This window comes from Homo sapiens, chromosome 11 (assembly GCF_000001405.40).
Source record: "Homo sapiens chromosome 11, GRCh38.p14 Primary Assembly".
NCBI classification, from domain to species: Eukaryota; Metazoa; Chordata; class Mammalia; order Primates; family Hominidae; genus Homo; species Homo sapiens.
The window spans coordinates 83,471,736-83,494,724 of NC_000011.10; the positions used below are offsets into that span (position 1 = coordinate 83,471,736).

The 22,989-nt window shown below is 36.5% G+C and overlaps 1 protein-coding gene across 62 annotated transcripts in view; it reads right to left on the reverse strand.

The window, feature by feature from the left end:
* The window catches only part of DLG2 (discs large MAGUK scaffold protein 2), a 2,173,362-nt gene that overhangs the window by 16,724 nt on the left and 2,133,649 nt on the right, over window positions 1-22,989 (reverse strand). For 24 of the 62 annotated variants that reach the window (NM_001351274.2, NM_001351275.2, XM_047426498.1 and 21 more), the window contains 2 exons: window positions 11,518-11,563; window positions 992-1,042 (listed from right to left, as the gene is read on the reverse strand). The exons of 1 other annotated variant lie outside the window; for it this stretch is intronic. In NM_001351274.2, the coding sequence (NP_001338203.1) occupies window positions 992-1,042; window positions 11,518-11,563 (97 nt within the window). Of the gene's footprint in view, window positions 1-991; window positions 1,043-8,636; window positions 8,679-11,517; window positions 11,564-12,393; window positions 12,494-13,120; window positions 14,517-22,989 lie in introns of those variants that run through there. 37 more of the 62 variants (XM_017017256.3, XM_047426494.1, XM_017017257.3 and 34 more) reach the window with 5 other exon arrangements.

Genomic DNA, 22,989 nt, shown 5'->3' on the forward strand with positions numbered 1-22,989 from the left:
TGGGAAAGGAAGATGTAGGTAAAGAGAAAGAGTTGGAAACAACTGCAAAACTGTCCTGCAAGGGTGATTCTTAATTGCCAGACAGTAAGAGATGCTAAGGGCATTACTTCACTGGATAAATTACTCATACAGCCTTGCATAGGGAAATTGATGTTTAACACTCAGGAGATTGGCAGTGCCTACTTTCTGGAATCTACTAGCAGGGAAAGGCAATTGCAGTATCTGTTGATGAAAAGAAACATTTGGAGGAGTTTTGCTTACTCTCTGGCTCTGCCTACATAATGTCAAAACAACTGAATTTAGTCAACTGAGTGGGAGAAAAAAGAATCCAAACCAGCTGTTTGGCTATTGTTTAGATATGACTATAAAAAGTAATTGTTAGTAGTAATAACATCTTATGTTTTCATGATTTCTTTTCCCCAGATCAAAATACTCTCTATACTTTGCTACAGTTTCTAGATTTCCTTGTATCTGGGATTAGAAGGAACCTGAGAGTTCATTGGGTACAAGTCCCCATCTGATGCTTGAATTCTCTCTGCAGTATCCTTGTCAGTAGCAATTAGCCTCTGTATAAATGCCTCCAGGAAAAAGCAGCAGCTTACAGATAGCCTACATCTTAGGCAGATCTGCTAGAAAGTCATTCTCAATACTGAGCTGACATCAGTCTCTCAGGAGAATTTATTCACCAGTCTCGTAGCTAGTGCTCTTTAGGTAATTTGAATGTGTTCCTTCCCATTGAGGACCACTCATCTGGAGGGCTGCATCCTTCTCTTAGGTGCTATTAGTGCCCATACTCAGCAGGAAGTTGTCTGTTTGGTGATAGGGTCAAAGAGAGAGAAAGTGAGAGACAGCGTAAGAGTAAGGTACGGTCTCAAGACAACAGAGCATTAAGCCGAGTTTATTCTCCTTAGTCCTTCACTCTTTCCCTCCTTCAATGATGTCACCTCTTATGGCCCAGAAATTAGGAATGAAAGCGTGCTGGGAAACTTACTTTCCTGCCTTGTAACAGGCTCATAGGAAAGAATGAGGTCTTCTTGTCCTCCTGAGAAGAGAAGGAAAGAAAACCACAGTGAACTAACAGTCATATATTACAGAGACAAGCCCTGCTCTGAAACACAGGAAACAGACACAGCTCAGAGTTAATTCTCCTTGCTCTTTCTCCTTGAACCATTCAAAAATAACTTCATCCTCATAAAACTCTTTAGCACCATTTTAGTATCAGATTTTCACAGTCATAACTCTAAGTAATAACTGGTTGCTAGCTATTTGCTGCAGGGCAATGACCTGTGAGACTTCTTTCTGTCTGGCATTGAGAATGGAATGCCATGGCCTCTACACCAAGCATTACTACTTAAAAGGAAGCCATTTAGTTCAAGGAAAGGGTCCAATTCAATAGATGGCTGCTACATAATCAGAATTGCTGTACCTTTTATTTCATCTTCTATTTTATTTCCCCAAGAAGCACACTGTTCAAAAGCAAGTATATGCTTATTTCATTTATGATATAAAAACTTCATCAGGACACTCAGGGTTTTACTCTAATATTAATTCGTCAGGAAAATGCTGTGGGTCAATTAATGAAGATCAAAAATTGAGGTGTGTCCTACATCATTGGTTATAATTGCTGCTAAACTGTGCGTTGAAACTTCAGATAGAGAACTAAGGAAGACACAGTAGTAAAATGTCAGCCCCTCCAATGTCATCTGCTACAAGCCTTCTGACTCAGGGTGGACCTCAAGTCAACAAATAACCATAGAAAGTAAATTGGTTTTTGCCATTTATTTTTTCAATCATCTATTTTATATAATTGATGAATTAATTGGTCAGAGGATTAGCTCAATTTCACCTGCAAACCCGGAAGTGTCTGCATTTTTTTTTGCATTGACTAACCTTTGGAACAGCAATAGGTTAGGGCTGTTGAAAAGAACTTTCTGTCTACTAGAAGAAATAGTGGAGCAGAAGTGGAATATGAGGTAACTTCTGAAACCAAAGGGCAATTCACCTTTGCTGTATATCCTCACCACCCACCCCTGAAGCACATTCATAGTCTATCAATGCCAGGTTTTCCTCCTTCAACAGCCACAGCACCACAGAAAGAGAGGTAATTTCATAAGAAGAGTTAATATGATCGACTGTTTTGATAATGAGACTGATTTGGGGAAATTGAGCAATATGTGGGTATAGCTGCGAAGTTGGATGACTTCCTTGGAGGCTGGGTAGCTGGAATGGGATGGGGATAGGAGTGTCTTACTTTTTCAAGTGTGAGAAATGGCCTCAGGCTGAAGTCATATCTTATCTCAGTCCCAAGGAGGGCCTGGGCTCAGAATGGCGCCACCATGCCAAGCTACTTCTTAAGGGTACAGAGAGTGGACCTTGATGCTCCTCCTAAGTGGTATGTACCCATGGCCACCCCAGAAGTGTTCAGGGGACTCTGCCACATTGGTCAGGGGTTTGGTCAGTGAGGAGTCAGATTCACTATTTCTTGTACTCAGGAAAAGAATGATTCCCTTTGAATAAACTACTGAAATGTACAGAGCCTAGGCCAAAAAACATGAAGGTGATTGATTACTAACCCCCAGTTATCTAAAGCCTGAGCGATGTAGAGGGTATACGCATTCAAGGTTTTAGTTTAGTATTACTTCATCAGGAAAATGCTGTGGGTCAATTAAAGAAGTGTAAAAATTCTTGGGGAGAAAGTATAGTTTTAATGATAGAAGCATCGTAGACTAACATTGCAATTTTAGACTATAACTTTACAGGGGAAATCTTCAACAATTAATGTGCAAGGGAAGAATTCTGACCATGGGATAACAAAAGCTTTAAATGTCAGGTAACTCTTGGACCTCCTTATTAGGCTGGGAGTTTCATAAAGGCGAGAACTGAGTTTTATTCATCACCATGTCTCCAGTGCCCCATTGAGTGCTTAACATAAAGAAAGATGTCAACAAATTTGCATTCTGATTTCAGTCATGGGAAACAGGATGAGTGATGAGGCCAACGGTAGGTTCTATTTTGTGTTTCTGTCAATATGGTCATTTAACTTTGGAAAGCATCGTTTTCTCTAAATAAATAGAGCACATCAAGTTCCCATAAAAATCTCTTCCCAATGGCTTTGCAAATCATTCTGATGGAACGTTCTAAAGGCAAATCTTTAATAAGATATTTGATGTCAGTGTGTATGATTGCGATTCAGACAACTAGGGCAAAGCATAGCTTTGATTAATTTTGTTCAAGAGTTCTCTATCTCTGTCTATCCATCACTTCTTGGTTTACTTTTCTATGAAAGGCACTGGTTCTGGTTCTGGTTCAGAGCAGTAGTGTTGGTAGACAGCAATGGCAGCATCCCTTATGTCCGGGCCACCCCAATTCTCAAGACCTTGTGGCAATCAGGTACTGTGTAATACCCAGGAAGCCTGTGGGGAAACCCGTGGAGGTGGGCATGACATAATTGCTGTGAATTCAGCATCTTAAACTAATTTTTACTTCCATGTCCAAGAATGAAAAGCCCTATGGGTAATGAGGAAGAGACAAAGGGAAAGAGAAAAAGCCACTGTGATGAAGGAGAGAAAATTCATGTCTTTGTGGCACTTTGCGGGCCTTGAGGGGCTTTCATACCCACTGGCTTTTATGTCTCACAGGCATTGCTTGAGGTAGGTACTCTGATGATCCCCATTTTACAGATGAAGAAGCTGAGGCTCAGAGATGTTAATGAGCCCTGATTCCTCAGCTAGTAAGTAGTGGAGTCAAGATTTAATACTGCACCTTTTTCAACTCTTGTGGAGTATATTGCACTGTCTTGAAACAGTGAGAGAAGCAGAATTCTCTGTGGGGCAGGGTGGGTGGGTGTTGAGGTAAAGCTAACAAATGAAGAAAAAATTGAAGAGAGAGATAGGGGCTGAAACCAGGTCGGGGTTATTAAGAGGCCATCAGATACTCTGCCTCTAAACACAAGTTCTCTCTCTTTTCTTTTCTCTCTTCTTTTTTTCTTTTCTTTTCTTTTCTCTCTCTTTCTTTCTTTGTTTCTTTTTCTTTTGCTGTTGTGTCATCCCCATAAAATAGTCATCCTTAAGAGTTTTTCTATTTTCTGCTCAGGAGGGGTTGGCACTTCAAAATAACAGCTGACAAAAAGGTACAAACTATTTCTTGGTTTTGTTTTGGCAACTGTATGGCTGAAAGTGGGAGAGCAGCACAGAGCTGTGTGTGGATGTCAGCAGCTGCCAGAGACTTCGCAGAGGGTTTTGTCACAGTCGCCACAAAACACTATGTGTTTAAACTGGAAGCCAGTCACAATGAGAGACCCTAGTAACCTTTATGCTAGAGAAAAGCAAATTGCCATTCTTTAGGAATTCCTGGAAACTAGAAAACAGAGATGATGGAGTTGAAGACCAGTGGCAGTACGTTTAATGCTCAAAATTTTGTTTTTAGTGCCTGCATATGATGATTTTTAAGAACTAATTAGGTTCTTAGAGTCATAGAATGCTAGTGCTAAGAAAGGGCTTAGGGTTCATGTGCTTCATAGATGGCAAGTACATACCACACACTATTACTCTCTGTGATCTTGACAGGCATCACAAACTGATCATTGCCGGGATTACTGCTGAGCCTCAACATGGCCTTAGAATACTTTTCATTACAACTCTTCAGGCAGCTACTGCCAATTGGTTCGAGTTTGAACCTTGATTAAAATTTATTTGCCATTTCTATTCTAATTCAAGCTACTCATTTTACATAGGAGAGAACTGAGTCTCAAAGACTTTAAGTAATTTGTTTAAGGTCATATAGTAAATTCATGGCAAATTGTCTCCATAGGATGTTCAGAAGATGAACTTAATATACGTACAGTCCTTAAAATCAGACTTGGTGCATAATGTTATATAAATGTTGTTGTTTGTATTAACTTTATAGGTAGTATGAAATGGTTGAAAGTTACTAGGTAAAATGTCAGGCTTGGATTACAAACTACAGGGAAGAGTGAAAAATGAATGGGATTCAGAATTAAGAGGTCTTGGTTGGATTTGCAGTGCCACTACTTTAATAAGGCAGGCAGCCTCTTGGAGCTTCGGCTTCCTCATATGGAAATGGGGCTATTAATGTAAAACATGTCTAATAAATAGTTTTGTTGCAGAAATTAAATGAGATAATAGATGTAATGAAAAACTGCTTTATAAAGACTAAAGGAGTAAAGACATCTAAGGGCAATAGTTGAGAATAATAGAGTAAGGTGAAGAATATGCACCATTTTGACTGACTCCAGTGGAGAAGTTTTGGGTCTCCTGATCTCAACACGTTAGTTTCACTCAGATTAGTTCTTCAAGATCCTTGTTTTGAAAATCCTACTTAACTGGTGAGCACTAATGGGTTGGAAGGATAATTATCAGCTTGCACACATCCATGATGATGTAAAGAGCTTTACTGAGCTTTGAGGAAGGCATGTCTTCAGCTTTAGAAGCTTGCATAGTCCTCAATATACTTGCCTAGTATTTACCACCTCCTAATACATGGGTGACTGTAAGGTATTATACAGAACAGCCAAAAATACAAGGCTGAATTTTACTACTTTATTGACATAAATCTAGAATTAGCCTATAATTAAGATAGTTTTGAGGTGGTGTTTTGCACAATTAGACAATGTACACTTTATCAGCTGCAATTTTAGCTGGTGCTAAATATAGTTGGAAAACCTATTTTATAATGCTTGAGATGATGCAGCAAAGATCTGAACTATTTATTAGAAATTGATGTTTGTGTGTATCTATGTGTGTGTGGCCTACCTCAGGAAACATGTAAGACTTTGAAGTAAGGTTGCCACGATGTGTAACTCCAGGATACAGTGTGAATGGTGTACTCCAGACTGTGAAACACAATGGATTGTGAAACACAAGGGCCTAGGTCTTTGTTTCTAACTCTGAATTATTACAATTATTTAGCCATTTTGTTCCCAGAGTGGATATGGAATGGTAAAGTATAACAGTGAAATACAACACCTGGATATTGGTGAAAAGAGGGGTTTTTTTTTGTATTTGTTTATACTATTTTTAGTCATAATTACAGCAAAAGCCAGGAATGCACTAGAAAAATGCAGCCTATTTTGACTTCAAAGTTGGTACCTCCTGGAAAATATATTTGTTCCAAACCTGTGTGTCTTTTTTCATGGCAGTGCTCTTTCTGGGAAGTTCCTTCCTCATCTTGCCTAGCTAGCAAGTTCCTCATCTTTCCAAAGCTCAGCTCAAAGCTACTTCCTCTCTGAAACTACCTCTTATGCTCCCACTATTCTTGAGCCAGACATCAATCTATCTTAGTACCTGTCACACTTTGTGCACTTTTTCATTTATTTATATCTCTCTCCTACTATTATGTGTGCTGAGATCTAGAGTTAGTTGATATTCACAATGGGTCTCATGGTATCCAAGAAGAGGACCTCATGTATAGTAGGTACCGAATGAATAAATAAACATTCCTCTGGAATTCTTCATATTTCCATTCTGGAGGAATACATGTCATTTTTCTCCTCTGAGCTGTGATAAAGACTCTTCTTACTTTTGTTCATTTGTAAAGAAAACAAACTGAGTGGCTGGCCTTCTGTAACCTTGGATGAGACTCAAGCCAATAGAGATAATTAGATTCCATATTTGCCCTACTAATGTCATAGAATCCAGTTCCAACTCTTCTCTCTTCTCATAGATAATTTGAGATGCCTGCAAGTGTTTCCTTTATTCATTCAATAAACATTTATGTGCAACTAGTATTTAGAGTAAAAATAATTATTGATGTCATCTTAGAACATCACTCTAAAAATCTGCCAAGTAGTTGAAAGTCTTGGGCCAGTTTTTATAACTTAATAATTCTGGGAAAAATATTCCCACCTCTGAAACAGAGAAGAGAAGCCTTTAAAATACTCTATAAAAATGTGATTTTTATAAGAAAAGGTAGTTCTTGTATAGTATATATTTTCCATTAAAAGAACTGAAAGATAAAGCATGATGCTTTCTTTTTCGATACCTGTGTCTACTGGATGGAAGCACAACACTTGAAAATTGAAAACTGAACATCAAGGAAACTAGTGTCATTGGTCTTCCTGGAACCCAGAAAATAAGTTATATTTTTCTACGTACTAAATTGAGGGCAGCTTAGGTGTTATTAACACAAGCTTTGGTCAATTCTTCTTGGCTTAGTTTCTTGGTTTAAAATAAAATGAAAAAGGGGAGAGGCAAATTTTTTTTCTGAAATTAGGATAATAATAAAATTATAAAAGTATAAAGAATGTAAAAATGTTGACATGTTACCGTGTTGATAACAAGAACCTTCTGAATTCTTCCATCAACAAGAATTGATGGAATTTCTTCTATCAATCAATCAATAAAACTTTCATCAATAAGAAAATTAGGTGGTTCCTATATCAATCTAACGTTTGATTGACCAAGGGTATCTCATTACAATTTTCTTCATTTTATTCCTTGGTCTACATCTTCCTTCTCTGAGCCTACCTCCATCTGCCATCTTTCCACTTTTGTGCTGCTGCTCCTACTTGCCACCCCTCTGATTTTCCAAAGCCTTTCTTAAAAATCCAAATTATGTGTTGTACCACTGTTTGGCCTTCCACCTCAAAAAGGCATGGTTTTGTAAAGTACCATGCTATAACGGGGGGGGGAAAACCTCAAACAATTCTAGTTTTCAATTAATACAATACTCATTCAAACAAAAGACAACACCAATTTCTGCCTTAGCATCTGTGGGTCACAGGTATTAGGCGTGCTTTTTGGGTAACCCATTTCACTAAGGAATATAAATTAATCTCATAGAAATCATAAGAATCCTAGTAAAAATATGTATCTATGTTAGTCACCAAAAACCAGTAAGTAAGTAGGTGGTAAAAAACCATGAGGACTGATCAAAAGGATGTGATCGGTGTTTGGTGGATAGTTTCATACACTAAGCAAATGGCTTGAGGTGACCAAACAAAGACCAGAAATAACTTTTAAATAGTTACCTACCTTTTCAGCTAAGTTTTCTGATCTAAGAAGACTTGGTCACATTTAAAAAAATTAAGTTCCTTCAACATTAGAGGATGAAACTCTTCCATCAGTTCCCCAATTATCAAAAAAGTAAAGTTAGAAATGTCATAGTATCCTATCTTAAAAGATTAATCAAAGAGAAAGTGATGTAAAAGATTCAAACCTGATTTTAAAGGAACACTTTATTTATAAATGCTTTTCCTATAAAGGGGAGCCAAGAACAGAAAGGAAATGGCAAAATAAGAAGGAAAACAATACCATGATGATTTTCCACCTCCTGCTGAGAGTTTCAATTATTTTGGGGGTTACAATGTAAAAATCCACCACGTTGAACTTTTTACACACCTTCTCTGTGAGAATTGAATCACTGAGTCACAACCAACTGAGGTTGGAATTGTTTATTAGCAAGACCACTACTACTTGCACAAATCACATAAGGGTGCACTGATGGCTCTAGTGTCTTTTTTATCTTTCCACATCCAGTGATTTCATTTCAAGCCATTTGCTTTGAATACAGATGATAAAAGGTAGCAATTGAAAAACAACAACAGAAATCTGAAATGACCACCACAGGCAATGGGGCAATTGCAAAGAAAATAACCGCAAACCAAAGCAGTAACTTACGGTAGCTACTTTCGCTATCGCTGGCATTAGAAGAAACATGTTCTGCAAGAACAGCACAGCAAATTAAAGAGATACCAAGCATTGAAGAGCAGCCAGAACGGAAAGGAATACACTCATGCAAGGCTACCAGAAATGTGAGCGAAAGGCAAGTAAAAGCCGCAGAGGAGGCTGCATTAAGAAAACTCAGATAAGATAAAGAAGATGAAAACTTTATCTCCATTTTACAGGAACCCGCTGCTTGATTGCTGTTTCTTCTTTTTAGCAAATGAAGAAAGTATCTTTAATTACAAAAAATGCATAATGTCAATTTAGGCGATTAGAAAAATACTATGACCCATTCATATACCTCTGACTTTCAAGATTTATGTGACAATGACTAGTATGTCTTGACTGAGTGTTTTCTTGACTATAAATTCAGACGCTTCTGGTGTGTAGGCAGTGTTTTCTTGCAGGCTTTTTTATTTCTCAATTTTAGCCTTTAAGAATTTTGCTGGAACGCTGCTCAAATTGCTAATTGATCCCTGGAATCCCTTGAATTTTATTTCTATTTAAATAGTTCCTAAACACATTCTCAGGATGAAAAGGAATTCTTGAAGATCTTTTCTGCTTCAGTGAGTGAGTTGAAAATCTTTGAGGAAGATGTGAGTCACTGAATAATATTTTACGAATCAGCTCAATAGTTCCTTGTTTTTATTTTAGGATTCTTGCTTGGATAGCTATTGAATACTAGTGGCATGGAACAGGCAGGAGATAAATGGCCTGATACACGGTACAGGTTCTGGCTGAAGTATGTTTTTTTTAAATTCATGCTGAATGACTTGCTTGCACAGCAATACTCCAAATTGTTTTTTCATACATAGTTCACCTAACTTAACAGGGATGTGTTGGTTATATGCCAGAATTTGAGCTCTTATTTCTAAAATCATTTTCGCTCATCCATACTGCTTGTTAAGTTATAGATGATACACTCATCAGTCTATGAACTTATTTGTATATTACTTTAATTAAATGAAGAACATGTGACTATTTGATTTCTGAAGCTCACTATAAATAACATCAGTTTTTTAAAAAGTGACAATAGTTATACATTTTTAGAAAGAGAAAAATAATATATAAAATTATTCTCTAACAATAAAAAAGTGCTTTGATATCATACATTCTTGCCAATTGGATAGAGTAGTTTTAAAGCATGAAACTAATGAAAACCAAAGCATGGGTTAAATTCACACAAATCATTTCTCTTTGTGTTGGTCTGTGATCAGAACTGCATTACTAATTTGGGCACATGTTTTGCAAGTGCAAAGAGGCAATAGGGAAAGAAGTGTGGATGAACCTGTGCAAATCTGTTTTCTGTTACTAAAATGAAAGTCAAGGCACATAATCAATAATAGTGCATTTCATGGAGATTATTATCTTAAGTGCCTTGAATTGGGTAAGACAGGGCTTTTTGTTGTTGTTGCGAAGTTTTACTTTTTAAATTTGTTCAATTTTTAAAGAGCAAACAAACATTTGCATATTCTGGATTGAAATGGTGTCCTATTTCTGACACTCCAAAAGCCACTACTTTTTAGTGATATTTATTATTAACAATATATTAAGATGTTTCTTTTCCCTCTCAAATTGAAAGTTTACAAATTCTCTCTGGTGGTGCTTGATGCTGTCCAGATAATGCTGAAATCAATATTTAAACTTCAGCCACTAATTCAGGAAAAATTTTCTATCATATTCCATATAGTAACTCAAAAATAAAGTTTTCATCTTTAAGATCAGTACTCTTGATCAGATTTTTAAAAATATAAATATCTTTTAAAAACTCTCCAAATGAACAATTTGAATTATGAGGAGTATCAATACTCAGGGTTATAGAAAGAGCCCTTGAAAACAAAGTCCAGTTCAATGCAATTTTGTTTTATACAAATAAACAGCTTCTAAAAATATTGCCCATAGCTGTTAATTTAAAACAACAAAACAAAAAAAATTAAACATGTGATACAGTTGCAAAAGACACAAAACTCTGTTCTCATTTCATTGGTGCCTACACAATGGGGTTAGTTATTAAAGAGGAAAAATCATAATGTAGTATATTAAGACACAGGATAATTATTTTTTAGTTGCTTAGTGCAATCAGATACAGACTAAATACATGAACAATTAGAAAATGTAAAGGCTTAATATATTTTCTTTTTCACTCTATGCTATAAAGTGAAGACCTGATTTTATAATGTAGCTAATAAATCACTGATAGGCATATTATTACATATCCAAACTTTAAACATTTCAAGCAGGATCACCGCAAGTCAGAAAAAAAAATCAAAGTTAATAACAAATAAATAAATACTCATGGAATCTCCAGTAGCTTAAAATTTGCTTTTAGAGAATGCATGTTCCTTTTGACTACGAAACAGCTCCTTTACTAACAGCAAAGTGCAACCCAATTATGAGATTTGACAAGGTCATTAAATATTTCCATGTGAAAAGGCAGAAGAAAGAACATAAAGTACATTTCTGTTTTGCTGTTCTAGAACACTTAGCTCACCCTTTCTTTCAACATGGTTTCTTGCTCTATGGAGGTATTAAGCGGCAGAGCAAGTGATGCTATGGTGGGCATCAGGACCATGTTGATAATATCACATGGTCAGAAAGGGATGGTGTTAACTGCAACAGAAGTTAGAGTGCCTGATACATTTTGCTTTTAAATGCTGACATGCAGAACAAAACGATCGAAAGTTACTTTGTAGGAGCATTCACAGCTAGGTAACAAATAAAACTCGTATCTTGTGCATGCTAGGAGTGAAAGGCCCTCAGGAAAAGGAACAAAAGCCAAACTCAAAAGGAAAGGAAAAGAAAAGAAAAGTTACAGTGACCATTCCTGGAAACTTACTCAGAGTCTTTGTTCCATAACCGTCGTCACCTAATCCGGGGATGTCCTGCATGGAAGTCCCCAGAGAGAGCAATGAGAGAGGAAGAACAGCCACGGAAGAGGAAGGAAGAAGTCAGTGGAGTTGAAATGAATACTACCATGACAGACCGTGCTGCCTTAACAATCTGGATCCCATTCTCTCTTCTTTTAAAAAAACTTTCACCCCAAACTCCTTGAGCTGAGATTCAAGAAGGAAATTTCTGATTTGCAGAGCAACTCAAGGTTTAAACAAAAGATTGTAAGAAAAAAAAATTCAGCAAATGCCAATTTTTTGACCATGGTCAATCACGTTGCCACAGAAATGTCCCACTTAAGGAATAAACTTCTCCAAATTTCATAGCAAATTCTAAATGATATCCACCATTACAAGCTCAGTGCTCAGAAAGTGTTTAGTGTTTTGGGGGAGGGAAAGAGTGAGCAAATGTGCTAGTTTATCTTTAAATCAATAAAGATAATTTAATTGTTCCTAACATTCCAAAAAACATATGTGGCAATGGAATCCAATATTTCTTCTCAGAAAATAATTTGTCTCAAGACTTAGAGGGTTGCATGATAGAAAAGGCAAACCGGACCCAGTCCTGGTCAAAGATAAATGTTGGTTGGGTGCAAGTCCCAGTTTTGGCAAGTCTCTCTCCAATGCCTTCTGCAAAGAAGAGCCATGTGAAAGGAGGGATCCAGACTGTAGTCAGACGCTGGTCACAGTAGTAGACCTGCCCTGCCTGCCTGCTGTGTTGTTTGCCTAGGTGTGTGGCGTGGGAGAGCCTACATCCTGCGTGTTGCCTGTGAATTTTTTTTCTCTTATGTTGCATGTGACATTATCTTTCAGAATCTACTTACGTTCAGGATCACTGGTTTCCTGCTCACTCTGCTCCTTGTTCTTGTAGAATGGGAATTTTCGTGAAAAGATGAAGCTCTTTTTACGCTTGTCATTGAATGACTGTGAAGGAGAAAAGGCATGGGGCAAAAACAGGGGACGTCTAATTGTTGTCACACTCATGCTGACAAAACAACTAGTTTGTAAAAGCACAGAGAGCTGTAGTGACGCAAGTGGATAATTCTAAAGTGGTGCCAGAGAGTTCTAAAGGTCGATTTTATTTTCAAGGAGTATAAATTCTGAATGGTGGCACCTTGGAAAAATTGTCTCCTAAGCAAAAGACTGGTTACAGATAAATGGTGATGGAGGGAAAGAGTCTTAAATTAGAAGGAGAAGACCCAGAATTTTTTGAATTTTTTGTGCTGGCTCTACGTCTTGCTAGTTCATCACCTTAGAAAGGGAATTGAATGTCTCTGAACCTCAGTATGTTCATCTGCAAAATGAGGACAATGATAGCAGCTCTTACGTTGTGAGACTCACAAAAGACAATGTAAACATAAAGTGCTATACAAATGTCTTATCACCATCAGGTAGAAAACGCTTTATTGGAGAAACTGGTTTTCTTCTTAGTGTCTTGATGTCTTTTAAAATAATTTGAATTTGAGTTACTTCTGTTTAGTTTTAATTAAATTAAAACTGCACAAAGAAGTATGTAGATTTATGGTATAATTACAGACTGACACATGAATATATAATCATTAGAATACAACATTTTTATTCAAAAGAGATTTTTAACAATAATTAACAATAATTTAGCCCCAAGCCCTCATTTTATAGACAGGGAGCCAGAGGCACAGAGAAGTTGTGTCCTATACTGCTATCACAGAGCTAGTTGGTGACAGCCATGAGGCAATCAACCAAAATCTGTTAAAATTGCTGCTAAAGGGGTATTAACTTGATATTAACTTAACTTATCAAAGGAAAAATGGCAGTCACTCTAGATTCTGATCAGGTAAAAAAAGTAAGAATGACTGTCTTTAAAAATTTTAACTAAACTATTCCATTAGCTTAAATGAGGCTGAATTAAAAATAACACATAGATACATAATACGATACAGGCATTAGAATTTATTCATTCAAGTGGATATCATGTGCTTACCTAGAAGACTCCCTAAGGAAATTCCATTAATTCCACTGCTGCTGTTCTTATGCAAATGTTTTGTGGGGTTTCTCTTTGGGAAATGTGTTGACAGTCATTTTATAAGTTATTGGCCATGCAGGTCTTACTAATTTCATATTCATATATCATTAAAAAATATGTTTCATCAGATTGACTACTACCCTTGTTTGGCTGATTTGGCTCTGAGGGTCTTTCAGCTGCTGAAAAAATTAAAATCACTCCCCAAGGATCAAGATTTGTTACCACACGGCTATTGAAATGAAGGTGCCAAAGACTCTGAAGGCAATTTGAAAACAGGTATTCAAAAACATTTTTGGCAATGGAAGCTGTTAAGAATAAATGTAGAGCAGCAAGGTGACCCTTAGAAGGAAAGGACACCTGTTTGGATGTGCGCTTTTGTCCCATTGCTGGGAATGAGTCCTGTGCCCTTATGGATTTGAAGCTTGACAAAATGGTATAAATAACTTATCTTCTTTGTATACTCATACATTCCCATATCAAATATCCATTTTGGTAACCATGTTCATTTAGGAAACATTAAAGTACTGAAATGTTGGTGCTGTCACTCGGTAAGTAATTCATTACTTTTTTAGGTAGTAGAAACTTTCAGCAAAGTAGTAGAGCTCAATTGTATGCCCATTAATAAGGTTTTATGAAAAATAATGAACCAAATAATTAATAATTTCTGAAATTAGGGGACATATACTTTACATTCAAGTACTAAAATTACATTCTCAGAGGGAAAAGAGGTATCACTTCAGAATTTATTACTCTGCTGACAGCACCTATGTTCAATATAGTTTTATCATCAATTGTAATTTAGGGTTGGTGTCCAAAAACAAGGTTGAGAACTGCCCCCAAATTTTCCTAGTTAAAAATGATAGTCCTTAAAAGAATACTAAATATTCTTGCATCACTCCAGTTTCATGCCACTTTTACATTTCAAGCATATTTAAACTCCAGTAACTGAAAATAAAAGAAAAAAAATCATGTAAGAATTAATGGCATGTGATACTGCAAGGTATGTTAGACATTTAACTTCAACATCACCAATGACTTGTCATGCAAAAAAAAAAAATTACACATTTTCATGCAAATACAAAACAATGCCAAGAGGAGTAAAGCCTGGGGTGAAAATGTAGACAGAGAGGGACAATGCAGAAGGCTTTGAGGGCCCAAAATGGGGCTGCATGCAAGCCACATCATTTAAATGGTCTCAAGGGTCAAAGGAATATGAAAATGTGTTATCTGTGATTAATTCTTTTATGTTTCAAAGCAAGGACTATAATGTGTTAACATTTCCCAAGTATGAAAATGTTGTGTATCATGAATCATCTGATTGGGACATAATACTACTAAGCATCACACTTTACAAAAGAACAGAAAATACACACTAATACTTTAAGAATAAAAGTATCTAACATGTCAGTCTTATTAGCAAAAGCCATTTCAGATTGGAATTAAAGAGAAGGGAATGGAAGTATTGGTGGTTACATTTCCTTACATTTGTGGACAAAAAAACCAAATCACAATTTCAGTTCACATTCACAGACTTAAAAGTCACATGTTTAGGATCTTAGCTAAACATTTCAACTATAAGAGAGACTATATGTGGTTTATAATGCTTTAACAGTATTCTTTATTTTTTATTAGACATGTGTAATACCATTATATAAGCTTTTTTGCTGCTGTAATTTTTTTTCTTTTAATATAGAAAATGAAAATCTGTTACACGAGTGCTAGGTGAGAATAATAAATTAGCAATTCTGCTATTATTTGTAGAACACATTGTTCTGAAGCAACTGATGGCTGATTTACAGCCCTATTCTCAATTATACTTGATCAATGATATTCTTTGTCTCTCTAGTGACAGTATCTTAGCTCTAGATCCATTGCTTTCATAGCAGGAAACATCTTTAAATAGACACTTTGAAAATACCAATCAAATGTGGCATGGGGCAAGCTGGCAAATCTAAGAATTCTATTTTGGAATTTGACCTAAAATGTTGAGTTCTAACTATTAAAGATGATAAAACAATAACTAACAAACATTTATTGAGCACTTATGTGCCACATTTGGTTCCAAAAGCTCTACATGAGTTAATCTCCATGCTAACTTCATGAAGTTAGTACCATCATTATTCCCATATTACAGAAGAGGAATCTGAAGTGTATAAATCTTCTATTACTTGCCCCAGAGTCACACAATTGGTGAGCAGAGAAGTCAGAAATTGAATTTGCAAATATTCCTGGTTGCAAATATCACTGTTTTTAAGAGCATGACAAGTTTCTGCAACTTAAGCCTGCTTCAAGTTTATATTTAAAATTATTAGTGCTTGACTCTCTTAAGTGATATCACAGTGTGTTCTTCCCACAGCTTGATGCTTGAAGATTATTTATTTAAATCATCAGATGCTATTGGATTCAACAACATCATTTTGGTTATCCTGTTACAATTTTTGTGATAGTCATTCATATTTTTTGGACTTTCTTCAATTTTTCTTTTTATGATAATGTAAAAAAGGAAAGAATTTAAGTGTGACAGGCCATGAACGGCAATTAAAAGGTAATTGCCCATTAACTGGCAAATCTGTGGAAACAAAGGTAAATTGTGGTTGCTTAGAGCTGGGGATAGTGGGCACAGAGATTGGGAAGTGGCAGCCAAGGTTTTTTTTAGGGGAGATAAAATGTTTGTTATACAATTAGATTGCAGTGATGGTGGCATAACTCTATGAATATACTAGAAAACATTGAGTTGTATACTGTGAGTGAATTGTATACTATGTGAATTATATCTCAATAAAGCCATTTCTTTTTAAAAAAGGACCCTCTCCCCAATCTCATAGTATGGACTGAGAAGAAACAATTGTAGCCGGTTTCTAATTTTATTTGGTGTAAATAATTTTTATCTTTAATTGAATGAGAGTAAACCACTCATTCCAACCCTCGCAATCAATTAGATCTACATGTCTTTTGTTTATCTGATTTTGTTTTGTCTCTGTTAAATGAATACCTTTCATGTTGTGACAGACATTAGAACACCCATACTAGGAGTCACTATTACTCAGAAGTCTCCAGGTTGTTAGGTCAAATGGCATGAAATTGCCCAGCCTGACTCTGAGATGTAATGGCATTGGTGAACTGGCTTAAGATAAAATACATGCTTCATGAAAGAAGGAAACAAAACAAAAAACTCAAATTATTTTCCTACTCAAATCTCATGTTTTTAAACACACATGAGTGAATCTTGACATATTTTATCTTTCTCATCCAGAAAACCTTAAAACTAGGGACATGTTTTACTTTTTCTCCTCATCTTCCTGTTCTTATTTCTCAAGCTTTAAAAAAGTTTCATAGTTCTAAAATGTCATCTTAGTAATACAGGTGTTCTCTGGGCAGAATTTAGGTTTAAATTTATACTGAGCTCAGATACGTCTTTTCTGTGACCCCCTTATTGTTTTATACATGCTATTTTCCTCTCCTTGTTTCTCCTCTAAAATAATTGTGTTCCCCTGGGAAAGTTGTTACTGTACATTTGGGCCACTACTTTGTATTATACAAATCTTATTTTCACACACATAAAAAGAGAACTTTGAAAACAAGTGAGGTAAAAGAACAAGTAATAATGTAACAAAGAGGGGTTAAGGGAAAGATAAGAGTTGGCTTGAGATATATCTGCTTACAGAAATGTGTCTATGTGAATGCACGTATACATGTGTGTCTATAACATTGCCTAATTAAAAAAAGATTACTTCTGCAAACCTAATGAACTAATGGATGTAGGCATTGAGTATCAGTAGCTGCTACAATCACAAAGAGACAGTCAGATGTTTCACGCCTTCTGATAAAAGAATAAAATATTACAAGGTAGTCTTGAAAACCTCTATTTACTCCCAAAACAAAACTCCCTCAAATGAATCAGAATCTAACCAAACCTCTGGATTGAACTACCAGTTTACAGCAACAAAGAGGACAGAGAAACATGGTAATTCCTACTATAAAAATGCAATCAATCAGCAAAATCCAAAATGTGGGAAGCTCTACAAGACAAACTATCTGATTTCATCTATATAAAATTGCAAGAAACCAATAAAAAATGGCAGGAAAACACATAGATCAGAAGAAACTTTGAGAAGGATCAACCAGTTACAATGTATAGACTTCATTTTGATCTTGATTCAAACAAACAAATTATAAAACAAAACAAAGCAACAATTACAACAACCAAACCCATCTGTGATACTTATGAGCCAATTTGGCCCTGAAAAAATACTGGATACTTGTTGATCCACTAATTGTCAATTTTTATGTGTAATAACGGCATTATGGTCATGCCATATTGCAATATTAAGAGCTGAAAAAATCTGATGCATTGGATTGCTTCAAATTAATATGGGAGGGATGTAGTACTTATGTACCCCCTGAGTATATTGTGAAGGTAGATCTGTAAAGAAGCCTCGAACTTCACTTAACAGGTTTATTGCTGGTTGTGATACAGGGATGACAATTCTGAAACCATTTGGTGTGTGCTGTAGGGTTGAGTAAATGAGTAAACACATGGATGTTGTTGGGAACCAGGGTTGTCACTGTGAAAGAAAGGTGAGATACAAACGTGGTACGGAGGAAGGAGAGGAAGACTCTTAAGATGGTGACCAGTAATTAGAGGCATGAGATATAAACTTAGGATTTTCTAAAAAGTTTTATTTCTTCTCTATCCATTAAAGGAGCTTAGATGTAATGAAACCCTAACAGCAAAATGCACATTCACTACTCAGATTTTGTCTTCTGGATGCCATTTTCCACAAAAGAACCTAGAATGTTTTAGAGAAATGGCTCATTCCAAGGCTGGAGCAGAGAAAGTATAAGGTGAGTCTGAAACATTTCGTGGGGCTAGAAAGTAAGCAGTATTAAATATAAACATGACACCAAACACAAAACAAATAAACAAAACCTAAAATGAATGGTAGCATATGAAAAGACACAAACAAAACCTGGATAATTTGAATATTAAAATGAATAACGACAGTAATAAAGTATAACACATTCAATTAAAAAAATTTGAGTTCACTCTGATTACCAAAAATACATAAATGATGTAACTAAAAATGGGATAAAAGAAAAGCTCTTCTTTAGAGTATGACTAATAATTATAGAAGGAAGGATAAAGTCAGGAAATCACCATTTTGTAATCATCACTATAATAGTCAAGTTAGGGAAGAATCATCTGTGGATGCCTAAAGCATTGGTTGAAAGTTTGTTGGGGAATAGGATATTTATCTCTTCCCAGATTATTTAATTATTAAAAAGAGGGGAAAAGATACCTTTATAGTGGAGAAATCTGGTAAATATCACCTTAATCAAGTGATCAAAATTAGCATCGCCAAATTGTGGGACAACATGACACCATGGGCCTCCTGATGGAAAACACTGAGAAGTACACAACATCACTTCTGTAGTATTTCTGCCAAATATGTCAATGTCATGAAAACTATAAAATATGTCAATGTCATGAAAACCATAAAAACTAAGGAATCATTCTAGATTAAAGGAGATAAGGAAATAGGACCAACAGAATGCAATGTGTAGTCCTGAGTCAGAAAAATAAAAAGTCATATTTTCTACAACTTTCTCTCAATTCAGCGGATTATACCAACATGAGTTGGTAATTGTTGAAGCTTAGTAACAGGTAAAATATATTCATAATTCTACTTTTTCTACTTTTTATATGTTTAAAAATTTTCATAATAAGGATAAGAAAAAAGATGAATTGTAAAGCACTTAATGCAATGCCTTAAAAATACTTAATAAAAGTAGCTAATAGCAGGAAAAATGTTTGTTTCCTTTTTATAGTTTTTTTTCTGTTTTTTTTTTTTTGTTACTACTTCAAATCTAACACCAGGAATAAAAACAATTCCAACTCGCATGAAGCACAAGGGGCTACCTGTACCTAGAAATAAGAAAAAGAAGCAGATCAGAAAAGTAGGGAAAAATCAAATCCCAACGACTATCACTTGTAGCCTAGTGAAGGCTGAGAACTGGGTTCATTATTTATGAAACTGTGGGAGCTAATCCTCTTTTGATCTCAAAAAATGAAATTCAATTTAGAGTTCTTTGCTTAGGAAGAAATCAAAATCACAAGATGCCAATCATTCTAATTAAGTTCTGTGAAATGGAATCCCAGATGAAACCTGTTTTATTTTTCCCCCATTTATGTTATTTCTAAGACTGATCATGCTAAATAAAAGCACATCACTCAGTCAGCAGTCTAAGTTGGGGAGGCTCAATTCCAGTAAAAAGCTCAGGTAACCAAAGGGCATAGAGACCAAGCCCAGTATAGCTAAGGAGTAGCTGAAATTATATGCTGGATTTTACGATGACTCTAATGCATATAGTAAGTAGGATGTTTTCCTTAACGTTGAGGCCCAAGACATCTACAGCATCACTTTGTCTGAGATGTCATACTTATTTCTCCCAAGGAAATAGAGACCTTCTCTTCTCTCTCATCTTGCACCCTTCTCCAGCCACCACTCAGATCTTTCTGCTTCTCCTTACAGCAAAACTCCTCCAAAGTTATCCCTTCTTCTCTTCCCTTCTGAACTTACTTCAATCACACTTCAAATATCGTAACATCATCTACACCAGAGGTCAGTGACCTGTGGCCCATGAACCAATCCAGCCCACTATGTGTTTCTGTAAATAAGGTTTTATTCAAGGATAACCATGCTCATTCCGTAGGTACTACCTATGACTAGTGCTACAGCAGCAGAATTGAGTATTTGCAGCAAAGATCAGATGGCCTGCAAAGCCTAAAATATTTACTCTCTGGCCCGTTACAGAAAAAGTTTCCTGGCTACTTATCTAAACCACTTTATTCAGGGCCACCAATGAACTTCATGTTGCCCAATCAAATGTTGATTCTCAGGTCTCATCTTACTCTGTTGATCTTCCCATTAGACATAGTTCATCATATCTTTCTTCCTGAAACGCTTGCTTCCTTGAACTCTGGTACACCTCCACATTTTCATTGTCATCCTACCCCATATAGCATTTGTCCTCAGTCTGTTTTGCTGGATCCCTCTTCATCTTTCTGGTCTTTAAAAATTGGGGGTATTTGGACTCAGTTTTTGAGTCTCCTCTCCCTCCCTCCCCAGCTAGGAGCCTTCCCTGTCTCCAGCTTGAAACTTTCCCAGAGTTCCAGACTCATATATCCAATTAATTGCCTACTCACTATCTTTACTTAGATATCTAATACATAGTCTTCAAACCAAACACGTGGTCTTCTCCACAAACCCTCAACAAGCAAATAAACACCAAGCAAGCAGACAAAAACCTTGGTCCTCCCTCAGTCTTGTTCAACTTGGGAAATTCTAACTCTTCCAATTACGCAGGCTGCAAACTTGCAGGGACGCCTCTCTTTCTCTCATACCCCACATCCAATTGGTTAATAAATCCTGTGTTCTCAGCTTTAAAATACACCCATAATCTGACCACCTCTCACCATCTCCACCACTACTACCCCAGTCCAAGTCACCACCATCTCTTGCCTGGAGCATGATATTGACCTCAGCTGGTGTTCCTGCTTCCACCTATTCCTGCTGCACTTTATTCTCCTTACAGCAGCCAGGGTGATCATTTAAAATTGTAATTCAGATCATGTCATTCTGCTCGAGATCCTCCAGTGACTTCCCACCTCATTCAGAATAAAACCCAAAATGTACAACATGGCTGGAAAGGCTCTCCATAATCCAGCTCTAGCTACCACTTTGATCTCCTCTGCCACTGTGCCTTCTTTGCCTCACTGTCTTCCTGCCACATTGGCCTTGTTGCTTTTCCTTGAATCCTTAAATTCAAGATTTCCTTGAATCTTGATTCAGGGACTTTGCTCTTGCTGTTCCCTCTGCTTGTAATCTTCTTCCCTTAGAAGGCTGATTCCTCACATCGTTCAGAGTTCTACTCACATATTCCCCCTTATCAGTGAGGCTTTTTCTGACAGGCCTGTCTAAAATTGTGCTGGCCCTATTACTATTTGCCTTCCTTTGTCTTTTCTTTCTTTCCTTCCTTCCTTCCTTCCTTCCTTCCTTCCTTCCTTCCTTCCTTCCTTCCTTCCTTTCTCTCTCTTTCAACATTTATCACCATCTGCCTGCATACACATTTGTTTATTTTCTGTTTTCCCCATGGAAATGTAAACTCCCTGAAAATAAGAAATGTGTTTTCATCCACTGCCATCTCTCTGGTGCCTTAGAACATGTACATATAGTATATACTCAATAAATATTTGTTGAATGAATACATGCTCCAACTCCTTTTGTGTTTCCCCACATTCTGGCCTTTATTGCTCTCTATTTTTTATCTTTTACTTGACTGTCTTCTACTAAACTGTAGACTGGCTCCTTAAGTAAAGTGCTTATTTTTACTTCATTTACTGATTATTTTCAATATCTCCCTAACCTAGTACCTGGCAGAAAGTCTGCTAGTGAATAAACAAATCAATGATCAATGCAGAAACTGGCTTATTTGTAAAAAAGTGGGAGGATTTTCAAGTTGACCAATTATTCATCATGTGTGGAGCTGTTCTTAGGGAGGGACTTTAACAATAATAGAACTGTCAACTAGGACCTGGAGAAGCTGAACAAATAATATTCAATCTAAAGAGAATGTGATGTTTTCCAGTGTTAAGCAATAAAGCCAAGGTATCAAAGCAGAATGTTTCTGTGTACTCAAACCCCATGTTTCCTATGACTGTCTACCATAAATCCTTGTCTGGTTTTATGAACTAAAGAGACCTGATCTTGCCTCATTAGAGTCTGCCTACTGTGGCTCCTGCCACCTGGCCGCTGTGGATTAAAGACCTGTCACATCATCAAGCTGCTCTGGCAGGTATTACAGGAACTCAGAGCTGAAGCAAATAAAACTGCTATCTGAGTTTCACTTTAAGTCCTAATTATTTATAGACTAACCAAAATGAATTGTACTGATAATTACCATTTTTAAAAACAGTATTGAATAGAAGTTTCATATTAACCAGAAACACTCAACTAAATGGCACACTAGATTATTTCTTGTAAACCCGCAAATTTAGTTTATGCCAGCTCCACCACCATCCCAGGATGCAGGAGCTGTCCTAGCTCTATTCTCAAATTACTCCTCTGCCGGGCTCTTAGGTACTTACCTGAGGCTATTTCAGAAACAGTGACTGACTCTACGTCCCACAAGATGAAGGAACAACTACCATGTTTATGGCTGTTTTTTAGGTTGAACTGCCTATTTCTTTTTTTTTTTTTTTACACAATATCCTCAAATTTGTATGGATTTTTTAGTTAAAACAAATGATTCCTGTCAACCTTGCCCCAGACTGCAGAGACACCCAGTTCACCATCCTTAGCCCTTAGTGATGAGGTGAGAACTCTAAAGGCTTCTAGGTGGAGCTCCCTGCCTACCA